Here is an 18138-nt window from a genome sequence, read left to right as displayed (position 1 = left end):
CCATCCTGGCTAACATGATGAAACCCCATCACTACTAAAAAAAAAAAAAAATTAGCAGGACGTGGTGGCGGGCGCCTATAGTCCCAGCTACTCGGGAGGCTGAGGCAGGAGAATGGCGTGAACCCAGGAGGCGGAGCTTGCAGTGAGCCGAGATCACACCACTGCACTCCAGCCTGGGCAACAGAGTGAGACTCCGCCGTCTCAAAAAAAACAAAAAAAAAAAACAAAAACACCAGGTGTGGTGGCTCACACCTGTAAACCCAGCACTTTGGGAGGCGGATGCAGGCAGATCACGAGGTCAAGAGATTGAGACTATCCTGGTCAACATGGTGAAACCTTGTCTCTACTAAAAATACAAAAATTAGTCGGGCGTGGTGGCACACACCTGTAGTCCCAGTTACTTGGGAGACTGAGGCAGAAGAATCACTTGAACCCGGGAGGCGGAGGTTGCAGTGAGTCGAGATCGCGCCACTGCACTCCAGTTTGGGTGACAGAGCAAGAGCCCATCTCAAAAAAAAAGAATCCTTCTAAGTAGTTTATCAGCTTAAGCCATGTTGGCTGAACATTAAGACTGTCAAATCCTAAGGAACAAAATAATATTAAAATTAGGAAGAATTATTTTGCCATAGGATAAAATAGAAATACTGCCATACATTTGACTCATTTGTTTGAAAATCTTTATATGGTTGTTGCTTCATTTAAAAACCAGACCTCACAAACCTGACCCAAGTTATGTGCAAAATAATGTGCCAGTTGCACAGCCCCTGGAGGCCAGTGTGAGCCCACATGCCTCTGCTGGTTTATTTCTAGAGTCCACTCGCTGTGGGTCTTGATCATGTTTCCAAAATAGGGAAGTCACCCATCTCTATTTCAGGCCTTGTTGCCAATGAAATTTTAAACTATGACATTGATACCATTTGACTAGACAATAACTAAAATTGAACAAAGAAGATATTTTCCTCTCATTGGAGGTTGCAGCATTTTATTCAGGTTTACAATTTGTGATTCATCCAGCCGTGGTGGCTCAAGCCTATAATCCCAGCACTTTGAGAGGCTGAGGTGGGCAGATATCTCAAGGTCAGGAGTTCAAGACAAGCCTGGCCAACATGGTGACACCTTCTCTCGACTAAAATTACAAAAATTAGCTGGGTGCGGTGGCACAAGCCTGTAATCCCAGTTACTCGGGAGGCTGAGGCAGGAGAATGGCTTGAATCCGGGAGGCGGAGGTTGTGGTGAGCCAAGATGGTGCCACTGCACTCCAGCCTGAGCAACAGAGTGAGACTCCATCTAAAAAAAAAAAAAAAAATTGTGATTGTGTAAACTGTGACTCAGGGAACTGCAGAGAACAGAAGTTTGCAGGTCTACACGTGGAATCTGCAGTTCTGTTAGGAGAGACTGGCATTGCAAAAGAGCAGCAATTCCTGAGCATCTTCCCCAGCAGAGAGCCCATTCTGGGGGCAATGTTGACAATGACCCAGAGTCTCTGGGTTCTCCAGTGGGGTGCACAGCTGATGTTATCCCTCCTGTGCTGGCAGTTTTCTAAGTGAGTTCAGATCCTCTAGGAAGGAAGATCTGTGTGTGCAGCGCTGTGGAAGAGGTCTCTGTGGGCGCCAAGCCTCCCAAGGAGATTTACGGGCTCCAGGGACTGGAGGTTTGGACCCCATCTCCTTCTCTCCCAATCCATTAGAACACGCATTTCCAGCATCTGTGGGGTGCCCAGATGAGGGGACGCGCCTCCAAGTTGTCCTCAGGAGATTCCCAATTGTTCGTGGATGTCGGATATTCGGTGTCCATGGGAGTGTCTGGGATTTTGGTGTCTTGTGCGTCCAGCAGCGTTGGCACATCCAGGCTGAGGAAAGCGGGACCCCTGCCTCCGCCTGCCTGCATGTGGGGTCTCCCTAGAAAGAAGCCTTTGGTAGGTGGGTGGGAAGATTAGGGTGCTTGAATGGGTACTGTGAGGAGGTGCAGTGGCACCAGGCTCTAGCAGCCTCCTGCCTCCAGGAGAGGCCCAGGTTGGGATCACTGCAGCGACCAACGCCTCGGATCACTCGAGGGCTAGAAGGCACCCACCAGGTGTGTGGACAGGAGCGCTCAGGGGCCTTGCACATTGGGCATATTATGGCGTCAGTTTCGGAATCAGCCTGCATGGAGTCGGACCAGGACACCCAGCCAGGATTCCGTCGTCGGGGAAGGGAACGCCCACATGGCTTGTGTGAAGGACATTCCAGGGGACGCAAAGGCTCTGGTGGCTGAGAGGAGCTGAGGGATGACAGATACCCCAAGGATTCTGTGGAGCTGGTCAGGTTTGGTGATAGGGTGCTCGCAGGTGGCCGGTGTGAAGGGTGCTTCAGGGGACACAGAGGCTCTGATGCCTGGGAGGAGCTCAGGGATGATGGAGACCCAAGGGACTCTATGGAGGTCTTCGGGACTGATGACGGCATGGAGGCCAGAGGAGCCAGGGGAGCCCGTGGGGACACATGGAAGCTGGTGGGAGAAGCTTTCCCACGCCCCCCACGTGGCCGGTGGTTCCTAGCAGGTGCTGGTTTGTACACTGGCCCTGGGCGGACTTGGCGTGGAAGGTGATGGGAGCTGCCCTCCCTAGAGAGCTTCTTCAGGCGCCTGCAGGAGACAGGAGGCACAGGCTGCAGCCGGGAGCACTGGGCACCTGTGGACCTCCAGGGCCCCCCTGCTGACTTCACAAAGCTCTGCCTACCCCTGCCCAGGGCTTTAGTGACATCACGGCTGTGATCTCCCCTCCCAGATCAGCCCTAGGCCCTGGGGTGGCATCCTAGGTCCTGGTAGGAAGGAGGACACGGGAGGGAAGAGGAAAGAGCCTCACTTTTCCAGCAGGAGAGTGTGGTCCTTAGTGTTCTCTAGTTCTTTCAAGAGACTTCTGCAAGCTGGAAAGCAGGAGATGGGTTATGGTGGTGAGGGAGGGATTAACACTTGAATAAGTGGACTGCAAAGCAAAGACGCTCAGTCTGGCCAGGAGGGGGTGACTACCTCCCACAGGCCCCCGAGTGGTGGGTGCATCCCACGCCAACCTCTCCTGGCCGGGCTGTCCCCTGGTAAAATGAGGTGGGAGCACTGGCCAGCAGATGAGGGCAGAATCCCACCCTCCTGGCCCCACAAAAGGATGGAGCCCTGTGCAGCAAAGACTTCAGGAGGCGGCCAGATGTGGTGGCTTATGCCTGTAATTCCAGCACTTTGGGAGGCCAGGGCAGGCGGATCATCTGAGGTCAGGAATTTAAAGGCAGCCTGGCCAACATTGTGAAACCCCATCTCTACTAAAAATACAAAAAATTAGCCGGGCGTGGTGGCGGGCACTTATATTCCCAGCTACTCCAGAGGCTGATGCAGGAGAATTGCTTGAACCCGGGAGGTGGAGGTTGCAGTGAGCTGAGATTGCGCCACTGCACTCCAGCCTGGGCAACAGAGCGACTCCATCTCAAAAAAAAAAAAGAGGGCCTCCCGAGGTGCCGGGATTGCAGACGGAGTCTCGCTCACTCAGTGCTCAATCTTGCCCAGGCTGGAGTGCAGTGGCGTGATCTCGGCTAGCTACAACCTCCACCTCCCAGCCGCCTGCCTTGGCCTCCCAAAGTGCCGAGATTGCAGCCTCTGCCCGGCCGCCACCCCGTCTGGGAAGTGAGGAGCGTCTCTGCCTGGCCGCCTATCGTCTGGGAAGTGAGGAGCCCCTCCGCCCGGCAGCCACCCCGTCCGGGAGGGAGGTGGGGGGTCAGCCTCCGCCCGGCAGCCGCCCCGTCCAGGAGGGAGGTGGGGGGCGCCTCTGCCCGGCAGCCCCGTCTGGGAGGTGAGGAGCCCCTCTGCCCGGCCACCACCCCATCTGGGAGGTGTACCCAACAGCTCATTGAGAACGGGCCATGATGACGATGGCGGTTTTGTGGAATAGAAAGGGGGGAAAGGTGGGGAAAAGATAGAGCGATCGGATTGTTGCTGTGTCTGTGTGGAAAGAAGTAGACATGGGAGACTTCATTTTGTTCTGTACTAAGAAAAATTCTTCTGCCTTGGGATCCTGTTGATCTATGACCTTACCCCCAACCCCGTGCTCTCTGAAACATGTGCTGTGTCCACTCAGGGTTAAATGGATTAAGGGCGGTGCAAGATGTGCTTTGTTAAACAGATGCTTGAAGGCAGCATGCTCCTTAAGAGTCATCACCACTCCCTAATCTCAAGTACCCAGGGACACAAACACTGCGGAAGGCCGCAGGGTCCTCTGCCTAGGAAAACCAGAGACGCTTGTTCACATGTTTATCTGCTGACCTTCCCTCCACTATTGTCCTATGACCCTGCCAAATCCCCCTCTGCCAGAAACACCCAAGAATGATCAATTAAAAAAAAAAAAAAAAAGAAAAAGAAAAAAGCTCCCGGAGGCGTCGTCCCTGGGAGCTTTTCTCCAGCCTCATAGCCCGCCTTGCGCCCAAGTGACAGCACGTAGCTTTCCTTTTGTGAGGGGAGCCCACAGGATTCACTCCCTTTTCCTATTTCCTCCGGGGTGAAGCCTCATGTGTCGGGACAATGTGGGATCAGGGACTGTCTGGGTGACCCTGGCGAGCCTCTCCTCACGGAGTTCTAGCGGCCATCAGGGAAAGGGGAGCACGCCCAGGGCAGCCGCCCCCAGGGGTGTTTGGATACAGGCCAGGAGCAGGCTGCTCTGTGATGGTGGGGCGGGGGGTGATGAGACTCCCCTGAGAGGCTCCCTTGGGCGCTGGAAAGATGGGACATGGGGAACCACCTCCTGCCTGGACCAGTTGATGCCCAGAGCCACTCCCCTGGGTCCTCATAGCTCCTTCCAGGAAGTGGGGATGTGGGTTTCCAGGGGAATCCAGGCCTTTAGGGAGAGTGGGAATCTGACTTTGGTCTTGCAGCTCCGCATTTTTCCTGCACATTTGCTGATTAGTTTATGCCTGTCAGGGGCCTCAGGGCCAGTGCTCAGTCCCAGGGTCTTAGGGTAGGAAAGATGATTCCCCAGATTTCCTGCAGGCATTTGAGCATGGTGGAAGGATCAGTGGAGCCTCCAGTGAAACTTGGCAGATTGCGCACTTCATTTATTTTCACTCTCCCAGGATCCTTCCCAAATTATCATAAATAAACAGAGAATTCTGAAACCTACAAAGAAAAATACAGCAAAAGAACAATGAATCAGTTTCAAAGCCTAGGCAGAGAGGCCGTAGGGTGACTGACAGCAGCCCCTGTGGGACTGGAGAGCAGACGGTTTGGTGGAAACGGCGCCCAGTTCCACAGAGGGAACTTGAGGAGAAGCAAAATGACTGAGCCAGCAGAGCCGGGCCCCAGACCCCCACCCCAGCCTGTAGGAGCTGCAGGTGTGATCTGGGAACACACTGTTCTGTCCCTTCTATTTTTCTCTTCATATAAGCTCTGGTTCTAGAAACAACTCACCTGCAGCCCGCTGTCTGGACCAGAACGTGGTAATGGGGCTGGACTATTTACAGGCCCATTGTGACTATTTACAGCCCTACTTACAGGCTGTACCACGGCCATCTCCCAGCACGTGCTCAGCTATGACGTCAAAATAAGGTAGAGCCGGCTGGATGAGGTGGGGCAGGGGAACCGGAGCTGTACACACAAGTGGTGGGGGCTCAGGGGCTCAATACTGTCTGGGGCCAGGGCTGTAAACATGGCTGGGGTGGCCCCTGTGTCATGGGGAGGAAGCCCGTGGGGGAAATGTCATTCTCATCACATCACATCACACCAAGGGTACCTGCTATTAACATGGCTTATCGCTTTTTAAAACATTTGAGATTCAGTGGGTGCATGCGCAGGTTTGTTACATGGATAAACCGTGTGGTGCTGAGGTTTGGGCTTCTAGTGAACCTGTCACTCAGATAGTGAAGACAGTGCCCAACAGGCAGTTTTTCAGCCCTTCCCCTGCTCCCGCTCTCCACACTTTTTGAGTTTCTAGTCACTTTTTTTTTTTTTGAGATGGAGTCTCTGTTGCCCAGGCGCTGGGACTACAGGCACCCGCCACCATGCCCGGCTAATTTTTTGTATTTTTAGTAGAGGTGGGGTTTCACCGTGTTAGCCAGGATGGTCTCGATCTCCTGACCTCGTGATCCAGCCGCCTCGGCCTCCCAAAGTGCTGGGATCATGTAGGGTATGATCTCGGTGCCCTGCAACCTCCGCCTCCCGGGTTCAAGTGATTCTCCTGCCTCAGCCTCCTGAGTAGCTGGGACTATAGATGTGTGCCACCACACTCGGCTAACTTTTGCATTTTTAGAAGAGACAGGGTTTCACCACGTTGGCCAGGCTGGTCTCAAACTCCTGACTTCAAGTGATCTGCCCGCCTTAGCCTCCCAAAGTGCTGGGATTACAGGCCTGAGCCACCACGCCCGGCCCTTGGTCCATGGTTTTACACCAGTGACACCTATAAACTGATGATTCCCACATTTAAAATATCCAGCCAAAGCTCTCGGCCAATTTCTAGATTGTTCCTGTGCTTCCACAGCTTCTAGTGCCACTGGTATGTCTGACACCATCTTACGTTTAAGGTCAAAAGATTTCTGAAGCCCCCACACAACTCAAACCCAACTGCTCCCCCAGTGTTTTCCATCTCAGTCAAAGTAGCATCCTTCCCTCCCTTCCCCACCCACCCCGCAATTTACCTAGTTCCCTGGCCCCAGGTTCTCTCAGTGCCCACATGAGCAAGACCAGCTGGCTTTATCTTCAAAATAGACCCCGAACCTGTCTGCAGTATTTCCACCCTAGTCCAAGCAACCCGCAACCTTCCTGTCTGGATTCTTGTACCTGCTTCCTACAGGGCATCTCTGCTTCTACTCTTGCCCCCACTCCCCCACATAATCTTTACATGGATTTTTTAAAATAGGTAAATCAGACCATGCCACTTCCCTTCCCAGAGCCCTGCGGTGCTTTCTCATCATTAGAATAAATAGGTCTCCTGATCCAGGCCTTGCTTAGCTTTCTGACTTCCTTTTATTTTTTATTTATTTATTTATTTATTTATTTTGAGACGGAGTCTTGCTCTGTCGCCCAGGCTGGAGTGCAGTGGTGTGATCTCGGCTCACTGTAAGCTCCGCCTCCCGGATTCACCCCATTCTCCCACCTCAGCCTCCCGAGTAGCTGGGACTACAGGCGCCCGCCACCACACCCGGCTAATTTTTTGTATTTTTAGTAGAGACGGGGTTTCACTGTGTTAGCCAGGATGGTCTCAATCTCCTGACCTCGTGATCCTCCCACCTTAGCCTCCCGAAGTGCTGGGATTACAGGTGTGAGTCACCGTGACCAGCTCTGACTTCCTTTTCTAATGCTGGAGACAGAGGTGACCCTGTGGAGACGTGGACCCTCTATTAGGTGGAGGGGAGAGGAGGAAAGGGACGGAGGGAGGGAGGGAAGAAAGGGAGAAAACACCAATAACTCAAAGAAGAATCACCATGTAAGCAACTGGTGCCCATCAGGAACATGCATCTTGCAAGAATCACCATGTAAGCAACTGGTGCCCATCAGGAACATGCATCTTGCAAGAATCACCATGTAAGCAACTGGTGCCCATCAGGAACATGCATCTTGCAAGAATCACCATGTAAGCAACTGGTGCCCATCAGGAACATGCATCTTGCAAGAATCACCATGTAAGCAACTGGTGCCCATCAGGAACATGCATCTTGCAAGAATCACCATGTAAGCAACTGGTGCCCATCAGGAACATGCATCTTGCAAGAATCACCATGTAAGCAACTGGTGCCCATCAGGAACATGCATCTTGCAAGAATCACCATGTAAGCAACTGGTGCCCATCAGGAACATGCATCTTGCAAGAATCACCATGTAAGCAACTGGTGCCCATCAGGAACATGCATCTTGCAAGAATCACCATGTAAGCAACTGGTGCCCATCAGGAACATGCATCTTGCAAGAATCACCATGTAAGCAACTGGTGCCCATCAGGAACATGCATCTTGCAAGAATCCCCATGTAAGCAACTGGTGCCCATCAGGAACATGCATCTTGCAAGAATCCCCATGTAAGCAACTGGTGCCCATCAGGAACATGCATCTTGCAAGAATCACCATGTAAGCAACTGGTGCCCATCAGGAACATGCATCTTGCCTGCTGTTATCTAATAGTCGAGACGTGAAGTGGGCTGGCAAATTTGTGGGTTCTGTTTTTTTTTTCAAGATGGAGTCTCACTCTGTCGCCCAGGCTGGAGTGCGGTGGCGTGATCTCAGCTCACTGCAACCTCTGCCTCCCGGGTTCATGCCATTCTCCTGCCTCAGCCTCCCGAGTAGCTCCGACTTCAGGCACCCGCCACCACGCTAATTTTTTGTATTTTTAGTAGAGAGGGGGTTTCACCGTGTTAGCTAGGATGGTCTTGATCTCCTGACCTCGTGAGCCACCGCGCCCGGCCGGCAAATTTATGGGTTCTTGTTATGGAGAATTGACCTAGGTTGATATTCATTCTGCCAGAGCCAGTGGAATTTGTAGTTTCTGAAAAGAGTTGTGTTATTTGGCAAAACCTGAATTGGGCATCACTTATCTTCATGTACTTAGCCAAAGCCCTAAAAAAACTTTTTTGAGGCTGTGTGCGGTGGTTCACGCCTGTAATCCCAGCACTTTGGGAGGCCGAGACGGGCCGATCACGAGGTCAGGAGTTTGAGATCAGCCTGGCCAAGATAGTGAAACCCTGTCTCTACTAAAAATTAAAAAAATAAGCCAGGCGTCGTGGCAGGCACCTGTAATCCCAGCTACTCAGGAGGCTGAGGCAAAGAATTGCTTGAACCCAAGAGGCGGAGGTTGCAGTGAGCAGGCAGAGGAGACCCTGGAGCAATAATCCCTGGAAATAACAGGAATTTCAGGGACAAATCCAGATCCTCAAAAACTGTGAAACTGAGGGAGTCTGAGCAGAGATCTCCAATGAACCAGGTACCATCTGTGTGCCAGGGCAAGAGGACGGAAAACGGACCAGGTCTGTTTCTGACAGGTTGAGCAGGTGGAGTGGGAAGGAGGGATCCGGAAGGCCAGGAGGGTGGAGGGAACTGCAGGGGTGGGTGGTGGTGGGCGGGGCTGGGCTTTAGCCTCCTCCTCCCACTGCCCACCCCACCCTTAGGAGCCCTTTGTGAGGGGGAGGCCCCAGCTCTGTGATGTGGACCTGGGCCCCAATAACTTGTCCCAGAGGGGATGCCCAGGGCTCAGTTGCCTGAGGACAGCAGTGCAGTTGACATGGATATTCTCTTTCCTCTGGACAGTGTTATTGGTACAGAGCTGTGCCCCAGCCCCATTCCCCAGATCATCCATTTCGTCCTCTTTGTTGTGTTCAGCCTGGTGATCCTGATTATCTTACGCCTCTACATTCCCAGGGAGCCGTCCTCAGTGCCTCCCAGAGAGGAGGACAGCGAGAATGTAAGGAGCCCTCAGCCCACACCCAGCAGAGAATGCTTCTATTTTTCCTGCTCTCTTTTCCACTTTTCCACATCAGCCAGAGGCGCTCCTGTGATGGGAACTCTCATCATCCCTCTAGGGACAGCAGGGCAGGCAGGGGTTGGAGTGGGCATAGGATTTCCAACCCAAGCTCCCAGACCATCTGTGGAGGTGCACGGGAGGCGTCAGAGCAAAACCAAACCCCAGGACTCAGCGGCGAGGACCCGGTCATGAGAGGGGTGAGGTCTCTGTGGAAGGACAGGCCCTGAGCCCGGGCTCATCAGCCGCCTTCCTGGGCAGGTGCCTCGGGGCCCAGCCTCTGTGTGAGGTGCTCTGGGGGCTGTGCTGAGCCCCTGAGAGCCTCCCACCTGAGACTGGAGTCGCCCCTGGCCTCCTCGGAAGCAGAATCCTCCCTGCCAGCTCAGAGGCACCTGCAGACCCAAGAGTGTGCGTTTCCCAAGCAGCGGAACAGGGACTGAGGATACCCAGGGCAGGCCTCACATAGAAAACCCCTCCATGCTTTCCAGAGAAGGAAACCAGAAAAAGGTTATTACGCACTTTAGAAACCAGTGAAAGAGAAGCACACAGGCTCCATGAGCTGGGCGGAGAAAGTGTGTCATTCACGAGCACTGGGTCTGCAGCTGTGGGGACAGGAGACTGAGACCCGGCCTGCACCCTCTTTCTTGTCTCTCAGGATCAAGCTGAAGTGGGGGAATGGCTCAGGATCGGAAATAAATATATCACTTTGAAAGGTAAGGCTCTGAGGGTCCCAGAAGCCCCAGAGATGACAGCTTCACCTGTCCCTAGGAACAAGCACCAAGTCTCCTAGGAAGTCATCTGCAGAGGCCTGATGGGGAAGCTCCTGGTAGGGCAATTGGAACCCGGGATCCATCTCCGATTCCCTGCTGAGTTGAAGCCATGGGGTCCAGGGAGCGGGTGTTGCCCAGGAGGGGACCAGTGACCACCTGGACGTGCAGGAGGGGATGCAGGTCCATGTGGGCAGCTGTTTAACATGGCTGAGTCCTCTTTGAGACTGCCTCTGTCCTCTCTCCCCAGGAGGTTGTCGTGACCCCCATGATGGAGCGTGTCGGGAAGCACTTTGGAGAGGACAAAGTGCTGCCCACCGGGCACCTGGCTATCACTCCTGGGGCCCTGTGGCCTTGGACAGGGATGCTGGGGCTCCAGGGTCTAATCCCCAATCCCGGGGTCTCCCCTAAGGGCACACGCAATCGGCCTCCTGTAAGTCCCAGTTCCCTCCCTCGCCACCATAACCCATCTCCTGCTTTCCAGATTACAGAATTCTCTTGAAAGAACTGGAGAACCTTGAGATCTACACTTTCCTGTCGAAAAAGTGAGGCTCTTCCCCTTCCCTCCCATGTCCTTCTTCCTACCAGGGCCTAGGATGCCACCCCAGGGCCTGGGGCTGATCTGGGAGGGGAGATCACAGCCATGATGTCACTAAAGCCCTGGGCAGGGGTAGGCAGAGCTTTGTGAAGTCAGCAGGGGGGCCCTGGAGGTCCACAGGTGCCCAGTGCTCCCGGCTGCAGCCTGTGCCTCCTGTCTCCTGCAGGTGCCTGAAGAAGCTCTCTAGGGAGGGCAGCTCCCATCACCTTCCACGCCAAGTCCGCCCAGGGCCAGTGTACAAACCAGCACCTGCTAGGAACCACCGGCCACGTGGGGGGCGTGGGAAAGCTTCTCCCACCAGCTTCCATGTGTCCCCACGGGCTCCCCTGGCTCCTCTGGCCTCCATGCCGTCATCAGTCCCGAAGACCTCCGTAGAGTCCTTGGGGTCTCCATCATCCCTGAGCTCCTCCAAGCCACGAGAGCCTCTGTGTCCCCTGAAGCACCCTTCACACCAGCCACCTGCGAGCACCCTATCACCAAACCCGACCAGCTCCACAGAATCCTTGGGGTATCTGTCATCCCTGAGCTCCTCCCAGCCACCAGAGCCTTTGCGTCCCCTGAAGCACCCTTCACACAAGCCACGTGGGCGTTCCCTTCCCCGACGACGGAATCCTGGCTGGGTGTCCTGGTCCGACTCCATGCAGGCTGATTCCGAAACTGACACCATAATATGCCCAATGTGCAAGGCCCCTGAGCGCTCCTGTCCACACACCTGGTGGGTGCCTTCTAGCCCTCGAGTGATCCGAGGCGTTGGTCGCTGCAGTGATCCCAACCTGGGCCTCTCCTGGAGGCAGGAGGCTGCTAGAGCCTGGTGCCACTGCACCTCCTCACAGTTCCCATTCAAGCACCCTAATCTTCCCACCCACCTACCAAAGGCTTCCTTCTAGGGAGACCCCACATGCAGGCAGGTGGAGGCAGGGGTCCCGCTTTCCTCAGCCTGGATGTGCCAACGCTGCTGGACGCATAAGACACCAAAATCCCAGACACTCCCATGGACACCGAATATCCGACATCCACGAACAATTGGGAATCTCCTGAGGACAACTTGGAGGTGCGTCCCCTCATCTGCGCACCCCACAGATGCTGGAAATGCATGTTCTAATGGATTGGGAGAGACGGAGATGGGGTCCAAACCTCCAGTCCCTGGAGCCCGTAAATCTCCTTGGGAGGCTTGGCGCCCACAGAGACCTCTTCCACAGCGCTGCACACACAGATCTTCCTTCCTAGAGGATCTGAACTCACTTAGAAAACTGCCAGCACAGGAGGGATAACATCAGCTGTGCCCCCCACTGGAGAACCCAGAGACTCTGGGTCATTGTCAACATTGCCCCCAGAATGGGCTCTCTGCTGGGGAAGATGCTCAGGAATTGCTGCTCTTTTGCAATGCCAGTCTCTCCTAACAGAACTGCAGATTCCACGTGTAGACCTGCAAACTTCTGTTCTCTGCAGTTCCCTGAGTCACAGTTTACACAATCACAATTTTTTTTTTTTTTTTTAGATGGAGTCTCACTCTGTTGCTCAGGCTGGAGTGCAGTGGCACCATCTTGGCTCACCACAACCTCCGCCTCCCGGATTCAAGCCATTCTCCTGCCTCAGCCTCCCGAGTAACTGGGATTACAGGCTTGTGCCACCGCACCCAGCTAATTTTTGTAATTTTAGTCGAGAGAAGGTGTCACCATGTTAGCCAGGCTTGTCTTGAACTCCTGACCTTGAGATATCTGCCCACCTCAGCCTCTCAAAGTGCTGGGATTATAGGCTTGAGCCACCACGGCTGGATGAATCATAAATTGTAAACCTGAATAAAATGCTGCAACCTCCAATGAGAGGAAAATATCTTCTTTGTCCAATTTTAGTTATTGTCCAGTCAAATGGTATCAATGTCATATTTTAAAATTTCATTGGTAACAAGGCCTGAACTAGAGATGGGTGACTTCCTTGTTTTGGAAACACGATCAAGACCCACAGCGAGTGGATTCTAGAAATAAACCAGCAGAGGCATGTGGGCTCACACTGGCCTCCAGGGGCTGTGCAACTGGCACATTATTTTGCACATAACTTGGGTCAGGTTTGTGAGGTCTGGTTTTTAAACAAGTAAGTCAAATGTATGGCAGTATTTCTATTTTATCCTATGGCAAAATAATTCTTCCTAATTTTAATATTATTTTGTTCCTTAGGATTTGACAAAGTCTTAATGTTCAGCCAACATGGCTTAAGCTGTTGAACTACTCAGTTTTGTTTTGTTTTGTTTTATTTTTTTGAGACGGAGTCTTGCTCTGTTACCCAAACTGGAGTGCAGTGGCGAGATCGCAACTCACTGCAATCTCCACCTCCTGGATTCAAGCCATTCTCCTGCCTCAGCCTCCTGAGCAGCTGGGACTACAGGCGCCCGCCACCACGCCTGGCTAATTTTTGTATTTTTAGTAGAGACAAGGTTTCACCATGTTGACCAGGATGGTCTCCATCTCTTGACCTCGTGATCCGCCCGCCTCAGCCTCCCAAAGTGCTGGGATTACAGGTGTGAGCCACCCCGCTCGGCCTTTTTGTTTGTTTGTTTGAGACAGAGTCTCACTTTATTGCCCAAGCTGGAGTACAGTGGCGCGATGTTGGCTCACTGCAACCTCCACCTCCCAGGTTCAAGCGATTCTCCTGCCTCAGGTTCCCGGGTAACTGGGATTATAGGTGCTGGCCACCACTGCCTAGGCTGGTCTCGAACTCCTGGCCTCAACTGATCTGCTGGCGTCAGCCTCTCAAAGTGCTGGGATTACAGGCATGAACCACTGGCTATTTTTTTTTTTTTTTTTTGCCTCTCAGCCTCAAGCAGTCCTTCTGCCTCAACCTCCCCAGTAGCTGGGACCACAGACACACACCACCATGCCTGACGAATTTTTGTATTTTCTGTAGAGATGGGGTTTGCTGTGTTGCCCAGGCTGGTCTCGAACTCTTGGCCTCAAGTGATCCACCTGCCTCAGCCACCGGGTCTGGCCCCTTCATGCATTTTTTTCATTTATTTATTTATTTTAGACGGAGTCTCGCTCTGTCACGCAGGCTGGAGTGCAGTGGCGCGATCTCGGCTCACTGCAACTTCTGCCTCCCAGGTTCAAGCGATTCTCCTGCCTCAGCCTCCTGAGTAGCTGGGATTACAGGCGCACGCCACCACGCCCAGCTAATTTTTGCATTTTTAGTAGAGATGGGGTTTCACAATGTTGGTCAGGCTGGTCTCAAACTCCTGACCTCGTGATCCACCCACCTCAGACTCCCAAAGTGCTGGGATTACAGGCATGCGTCACTGCACCAGTCCCCTTCATGCATTTTTGAATTGAGTTGTTTGATTTGTTGTTGGCAAATATTTTCCCTCATGCTGTGGGTTGCTCCTTACATTTTTTTTTTTTTTTTTTTTTTTTTTGAGACAGAGTCTCACTCTGTCACACAGGCTGGAATACAGTGGCAGGAGCTCTGCTCACTGCAACCTCTGCCTCCCGGGTTGACGCCATTCTCCCAATTCAGCCTCTCGAGTAGCTGGGACTATAGGCGCCCGCCACCACGCCTGGCTAAATTTTTTTTTGAATTTTTAGTAGAGACGGGGTTTCACCGGGTTAGCCAGGATGGTCTTGATCTCCTGACCTCATGATCCATCCACCTCGGCCTCCCAGAGTGCTGGGAACACAGGCGTGAGCCACCATGCCCGGCCGCTCCTTACATTTTTGAGCCTTCATAATCAATCTTCCTTCCTTTCTTTCTTTCTTTTTTTTTTTTTGATGGAGTTTTCCTCTTGTTGCCCAGGCTGGAGTGCAATGGCGTGATCTTGGCTCACCGGAACCTCCACCTCTTTGGTTCACGCGATTCTCCTGCCTCAGCATGCCAAGGATTATGAGCAGGCGCTGCCACCACGCTCTGTTAATTTTGTATTTTTCAGTAGAGACAAGGTTTCTCCATGTTAGTCAGGCTGGTCTCCAACTCCTGACCTCAGGTGATCTCCCTGCCTCGGCCTGGTTACAGGCATGAGCCACCGCACCAGGCCTTTTTTTTTTTTTTTTTTGAGACAGAGTCTTGCTGTGTCACCCAGGTTGGAGTGCAGTGGCGCCATCTTGGCTCACTGCAGCCTCCGCCTCTCAGGTTCAAGTGATTCTCCCACCTCAGCTTCCCGAGTAACTGGGATTACTGCCCCACCACGCCCGGCTAATTTTTGTATTTTTAGTAGAGACAGGGTTCCACCATGTTGGCCAGGCTGGTTTCGAACTCCTGACCTCGTGATCTGCCCGCCTTGGCCTCCCAAAGTGCTGGGATTACAGGTGTGAGCCACCACGCCTGGCCCAAGTCTTCATAATTTCATTCTCCATTTGGAAGGATGCTTGGCCCATTGCTTACTAGCTCCGCATTTGTGTCTTCATTTCATGCATTTGTCCATCCAGTCAGTGAATGTTCAAGTACATTCCATTTGCCTTGCCCTAGGATGACCGGAGGAGAAAAGATCCCTTTCCTGGAGAAGCTTAGAATCTAGCAGGGAGATGAAGAAAAATGAGTAACTTTACAATCCAGTCCACAGCTACAAGTTTCAGCAAGTGCTATGCACTATAATGAGAGCCCCTAATTGGGAGCTATTTGGGAGTTGGGGAGAGTTGCTGAGAAAGTGATGCGTGGCCTGGTCAGGCAGAGGGAAGCAGGCTTTGAGGCTAAGAGGCCAAGGGCCTGGAGCGGCAGCCCCCAAGCTGGACAGGGAGGGAGCCGATTCTACTTGGAGAGCAAACACTGAAGCCTCAAGTGACACAATCCAATTCATATCCTTTTTTTTAAATTTTATTTTAAGGATGGGGTCTCATTCTGTTGCCCAGGCTGAGTGCAGTAGCACGATCATAGCTCACTGCAATTCAAACTCCTAGGCTCAAGCAATTCTACTGGCTCAGCTGGAGACTGTAGCTGGGACTACAGACACGCACCACCACACCTGGTTAATTATTTTTATCTTTAAAAAATTTTTGTTTTTTGTTTTTGAGACGGAGTTTCGCTCTGTCGCCCAGTCTGGAGTGCAGTGGCGAGATCTCGGCTCACTGCAAACTCTGCCTCGCGGGTTCAAGCAAATCTCTGCCTCAGCCTCCTGAGTAGCTGAGATTACAGGCGCCCGCCACCATGCCTGGCTATTTTTTTTTTTTTTTTGTATTTTTAGTAGAGACAGTGTTTCACTGTCTTGGCCAGCTTGATCTTGAACTCCTGACCTCGTAATCCACCTACCTCGGCCTCCCAAAGTGCTGGAATTACAGGCGTGAGCCACCGTGCCCGGCCTGGAATTTTCTTTTTGTAATGCTTTTGTCAGGTTTTTGTCTTAGGTTAAGCTGGCCTCACATAAGGAACTGAACACTTCCTCTATTTTCTCAAAGCGTTTGTATGAGACTGGTGTTGATGTCTTCACTGAATATTTGATTCAAAACAAATGATTAATATAATAAAAAAAAATTGACCAGTCAGCTGAGTGTGACGGCTTTTGCCTGTAATTCAAGCACTTTGGGAGGCCGAGGCAGGAGGATTGCTTGAGGCCAAGAGTTTGAGCCAAGCCCTGGCAACATAGCAAGACCCTACCTCTCCAAAAGATAAAATAAAAAGCCAGGCACGGTGGCTCAGGCCTGCAATATTAGCAGTTGGGGAGGCCGAGGCGGGCACATTGCCTAAGCTCAGGAGTTTGAGACAAGCCTGGGCAACACGGTGAAACCCTGTCCCTACTAAAACACAAAAATTAGCCAGGCGTGGCAGCGGCATGCACCTGTATTCCCAGCTACTCGGGAGGCTGAGGCAGGAGAATTGCTTGAACCCGGCAGGCGGAGGTTGCAGTGAGCCGAGATCGGGCCACTGCACTCCATGCTTCAGCCTGGGTGACAGAGCAAGACTCCGTCTCTAAAATAAATAAATAAAATAAAATAAAACAAAATACTAAGCGGTTAAATCATCCAGGCCTGGGTTTTTCTTTTCGGAAAGTATGGATAACAAATTCAGTTTCCTTACTTGTGTTTCTTTTTTTTTTTTTGAGACGGAGTCTCGCTCTGTCTGTTGCCCAGGCTGGAGTGCAGTGGCCCGATCTTGGCTCACTGCAAGCTCCGCCTCCCGGGTTGACACCATTCTCCCAACTCAGCCTCTTGAGTAGCTGGGACTACAGACGCCCGCCACCACGCCTGGCTAATTTTTTTTTGGATTTTTAGTAGAGACGGGGTTTCACCGTGTTAGCCAGGATGGTCTCGATCTCCTGAACTCGTGATGCGCCTGCCTCGGCCTCCCAAAGTGCTGGGATTACAGGCGTGAGCCACTGCGCCCGACCACTTGTGTTTCTTTTCAAGAATGGACCCCATGGCAGACATCCATGAGTTTTCATGGTCAGAAATTGGTCTCATGCACACCCCAGCCAACCGAGGTGAGAGAAATGGCATTACAGTGATTGGCTTAGACACGTCAGGATATGTCCCTGAACCAGGACAAGAGGCACCTTCTCCAAGGGTGGATCCCAAAGAAAGTCAGAGGTCTTGGCAAAGAATGGGGAAAAGGGATTATGTAGGCAACCCAGTGTCTGCTACAGAATGAGCAGCGGAGAAGAAAGCAACCTGAAAGGCTGAGTAATTACAAAAAAAGACTAAATTAAATCCATACAAGAGCAAGTTTGCTCTGTTTCCACCTTCACTAGGAATGAGGGCTCAGAGCAGGGCATGCTGGGAAGTAGAAAATAAAGTTACCATTTTTCTGTTTCAGCCATAGCGTGTACATATTACCCTACTCTAGCCCACCCCCTTCTCTCACACACAGTAGTTGTTAAAATAAAAACTTGGCCAGGCGGGATGGTTCACCCCTGTAATCCCAGCACTTTGGGAGGCCTAGGTGGGCGGATCACGAGGTCAAGAGTTCGAGACCAGCCTGACCAACATGGTGAAACCCCATCTCTATTAAAAATACAAAAATTAGCTGAGTATGGTGGCACGCGCCTGTAATCCCAGCTACTCAAGAGGCTGAGGCAGAAGAATAGCTTGAACGCGTGAGGTGGAGTTTACAGTAAGCTGAGACTGTGCCATTGTACTCCAGCCTGGGCGACAAAGCGAGACTCCGTCTCTAAAATAAAATGAAATCAAATCAAATCTTGGGCTGGGAGGCCAAGATTATCTGTCCCGAAATTTGACAGATTATAATTATTTTTTAGAAGTGGAATCTTGCTGTGTCACGCAGGCTGGAGTCCAGTGGCACAATCACAGTTCACTGGAGCCTCCAACTCCTGGGCCCAAGCTATCCTCCCATCTCAACTTCCCAGCTGGCTGGGACCACAGGCAGGTGCCACCACACCCAAGTAATTATTTT

At 52.3% G+C, this 18138-nt stretch overlaps 3 long non-coding RNA genes across 3 annotated transcripts in view; 1 reads left to right on the top strand and 2 right to left on the bottom strand.

Annotated features, from left to right (window-relative positions):
* Window positions 1–950: 950 nt before the first annotated feature.
* Window positions 951–18138, bottom strand: part of LOC128966623 (uncharacterized) — a 130785-nt gene continuing 113597 nt past the window's right edge. Inside the window, 1 exon segment of the long non-coding RNA NR_185480.1 lies at window positions 951–2203. This is a non-coding gene — a long non-coding RNA (uncharacterized LOC128966623).
* Window positions 959–2909, bottom strand: LOC100502572 (chromosome 5 open reading frame 60-like). The gene is made up of 4 exons (NR_171894.1): window positions 2840–2909; window positions 2278–2619; window positions 1735–1898; window positions 959–1287 (listed from the first exon to the last, which is right to left on the bottom strand). It is a non-coding gene; the product is annotated as a chromosome 5 open reading frame 60-like (long non-coding RNA).
* On the top strand, window positions 9146–12648 carry SPATA31J1 (SPATA31 subfamily J member 1). The gene is made up of 6 exons (NR_131066.1): window positions 9146–9393; window positions 10106–10163; window positions 10702–10762; window positions 10982–11323; window positions 11752–11866; window positions 12314–12648. It is a non-coding gene; the product is annotated as an SPATA31 subfamily J member 1 (long non-coding RNA).

The sequence above is a fragment of the Homo sapiens genome, chromosome 5 (assembly GCF_000001405.40).
Source record: "Homo sapiens chromosome 5, GRCh38.p14 Primary Assembly".
Lineage (NCBI taxonomy): Eukaryota > Metazoa > Chordata > Mammalia > Primates > Hominidae > Homo > Homo sapiens.
This window is presented reverse-complemented; position numbering and strand designations above follow the sequence as displayed.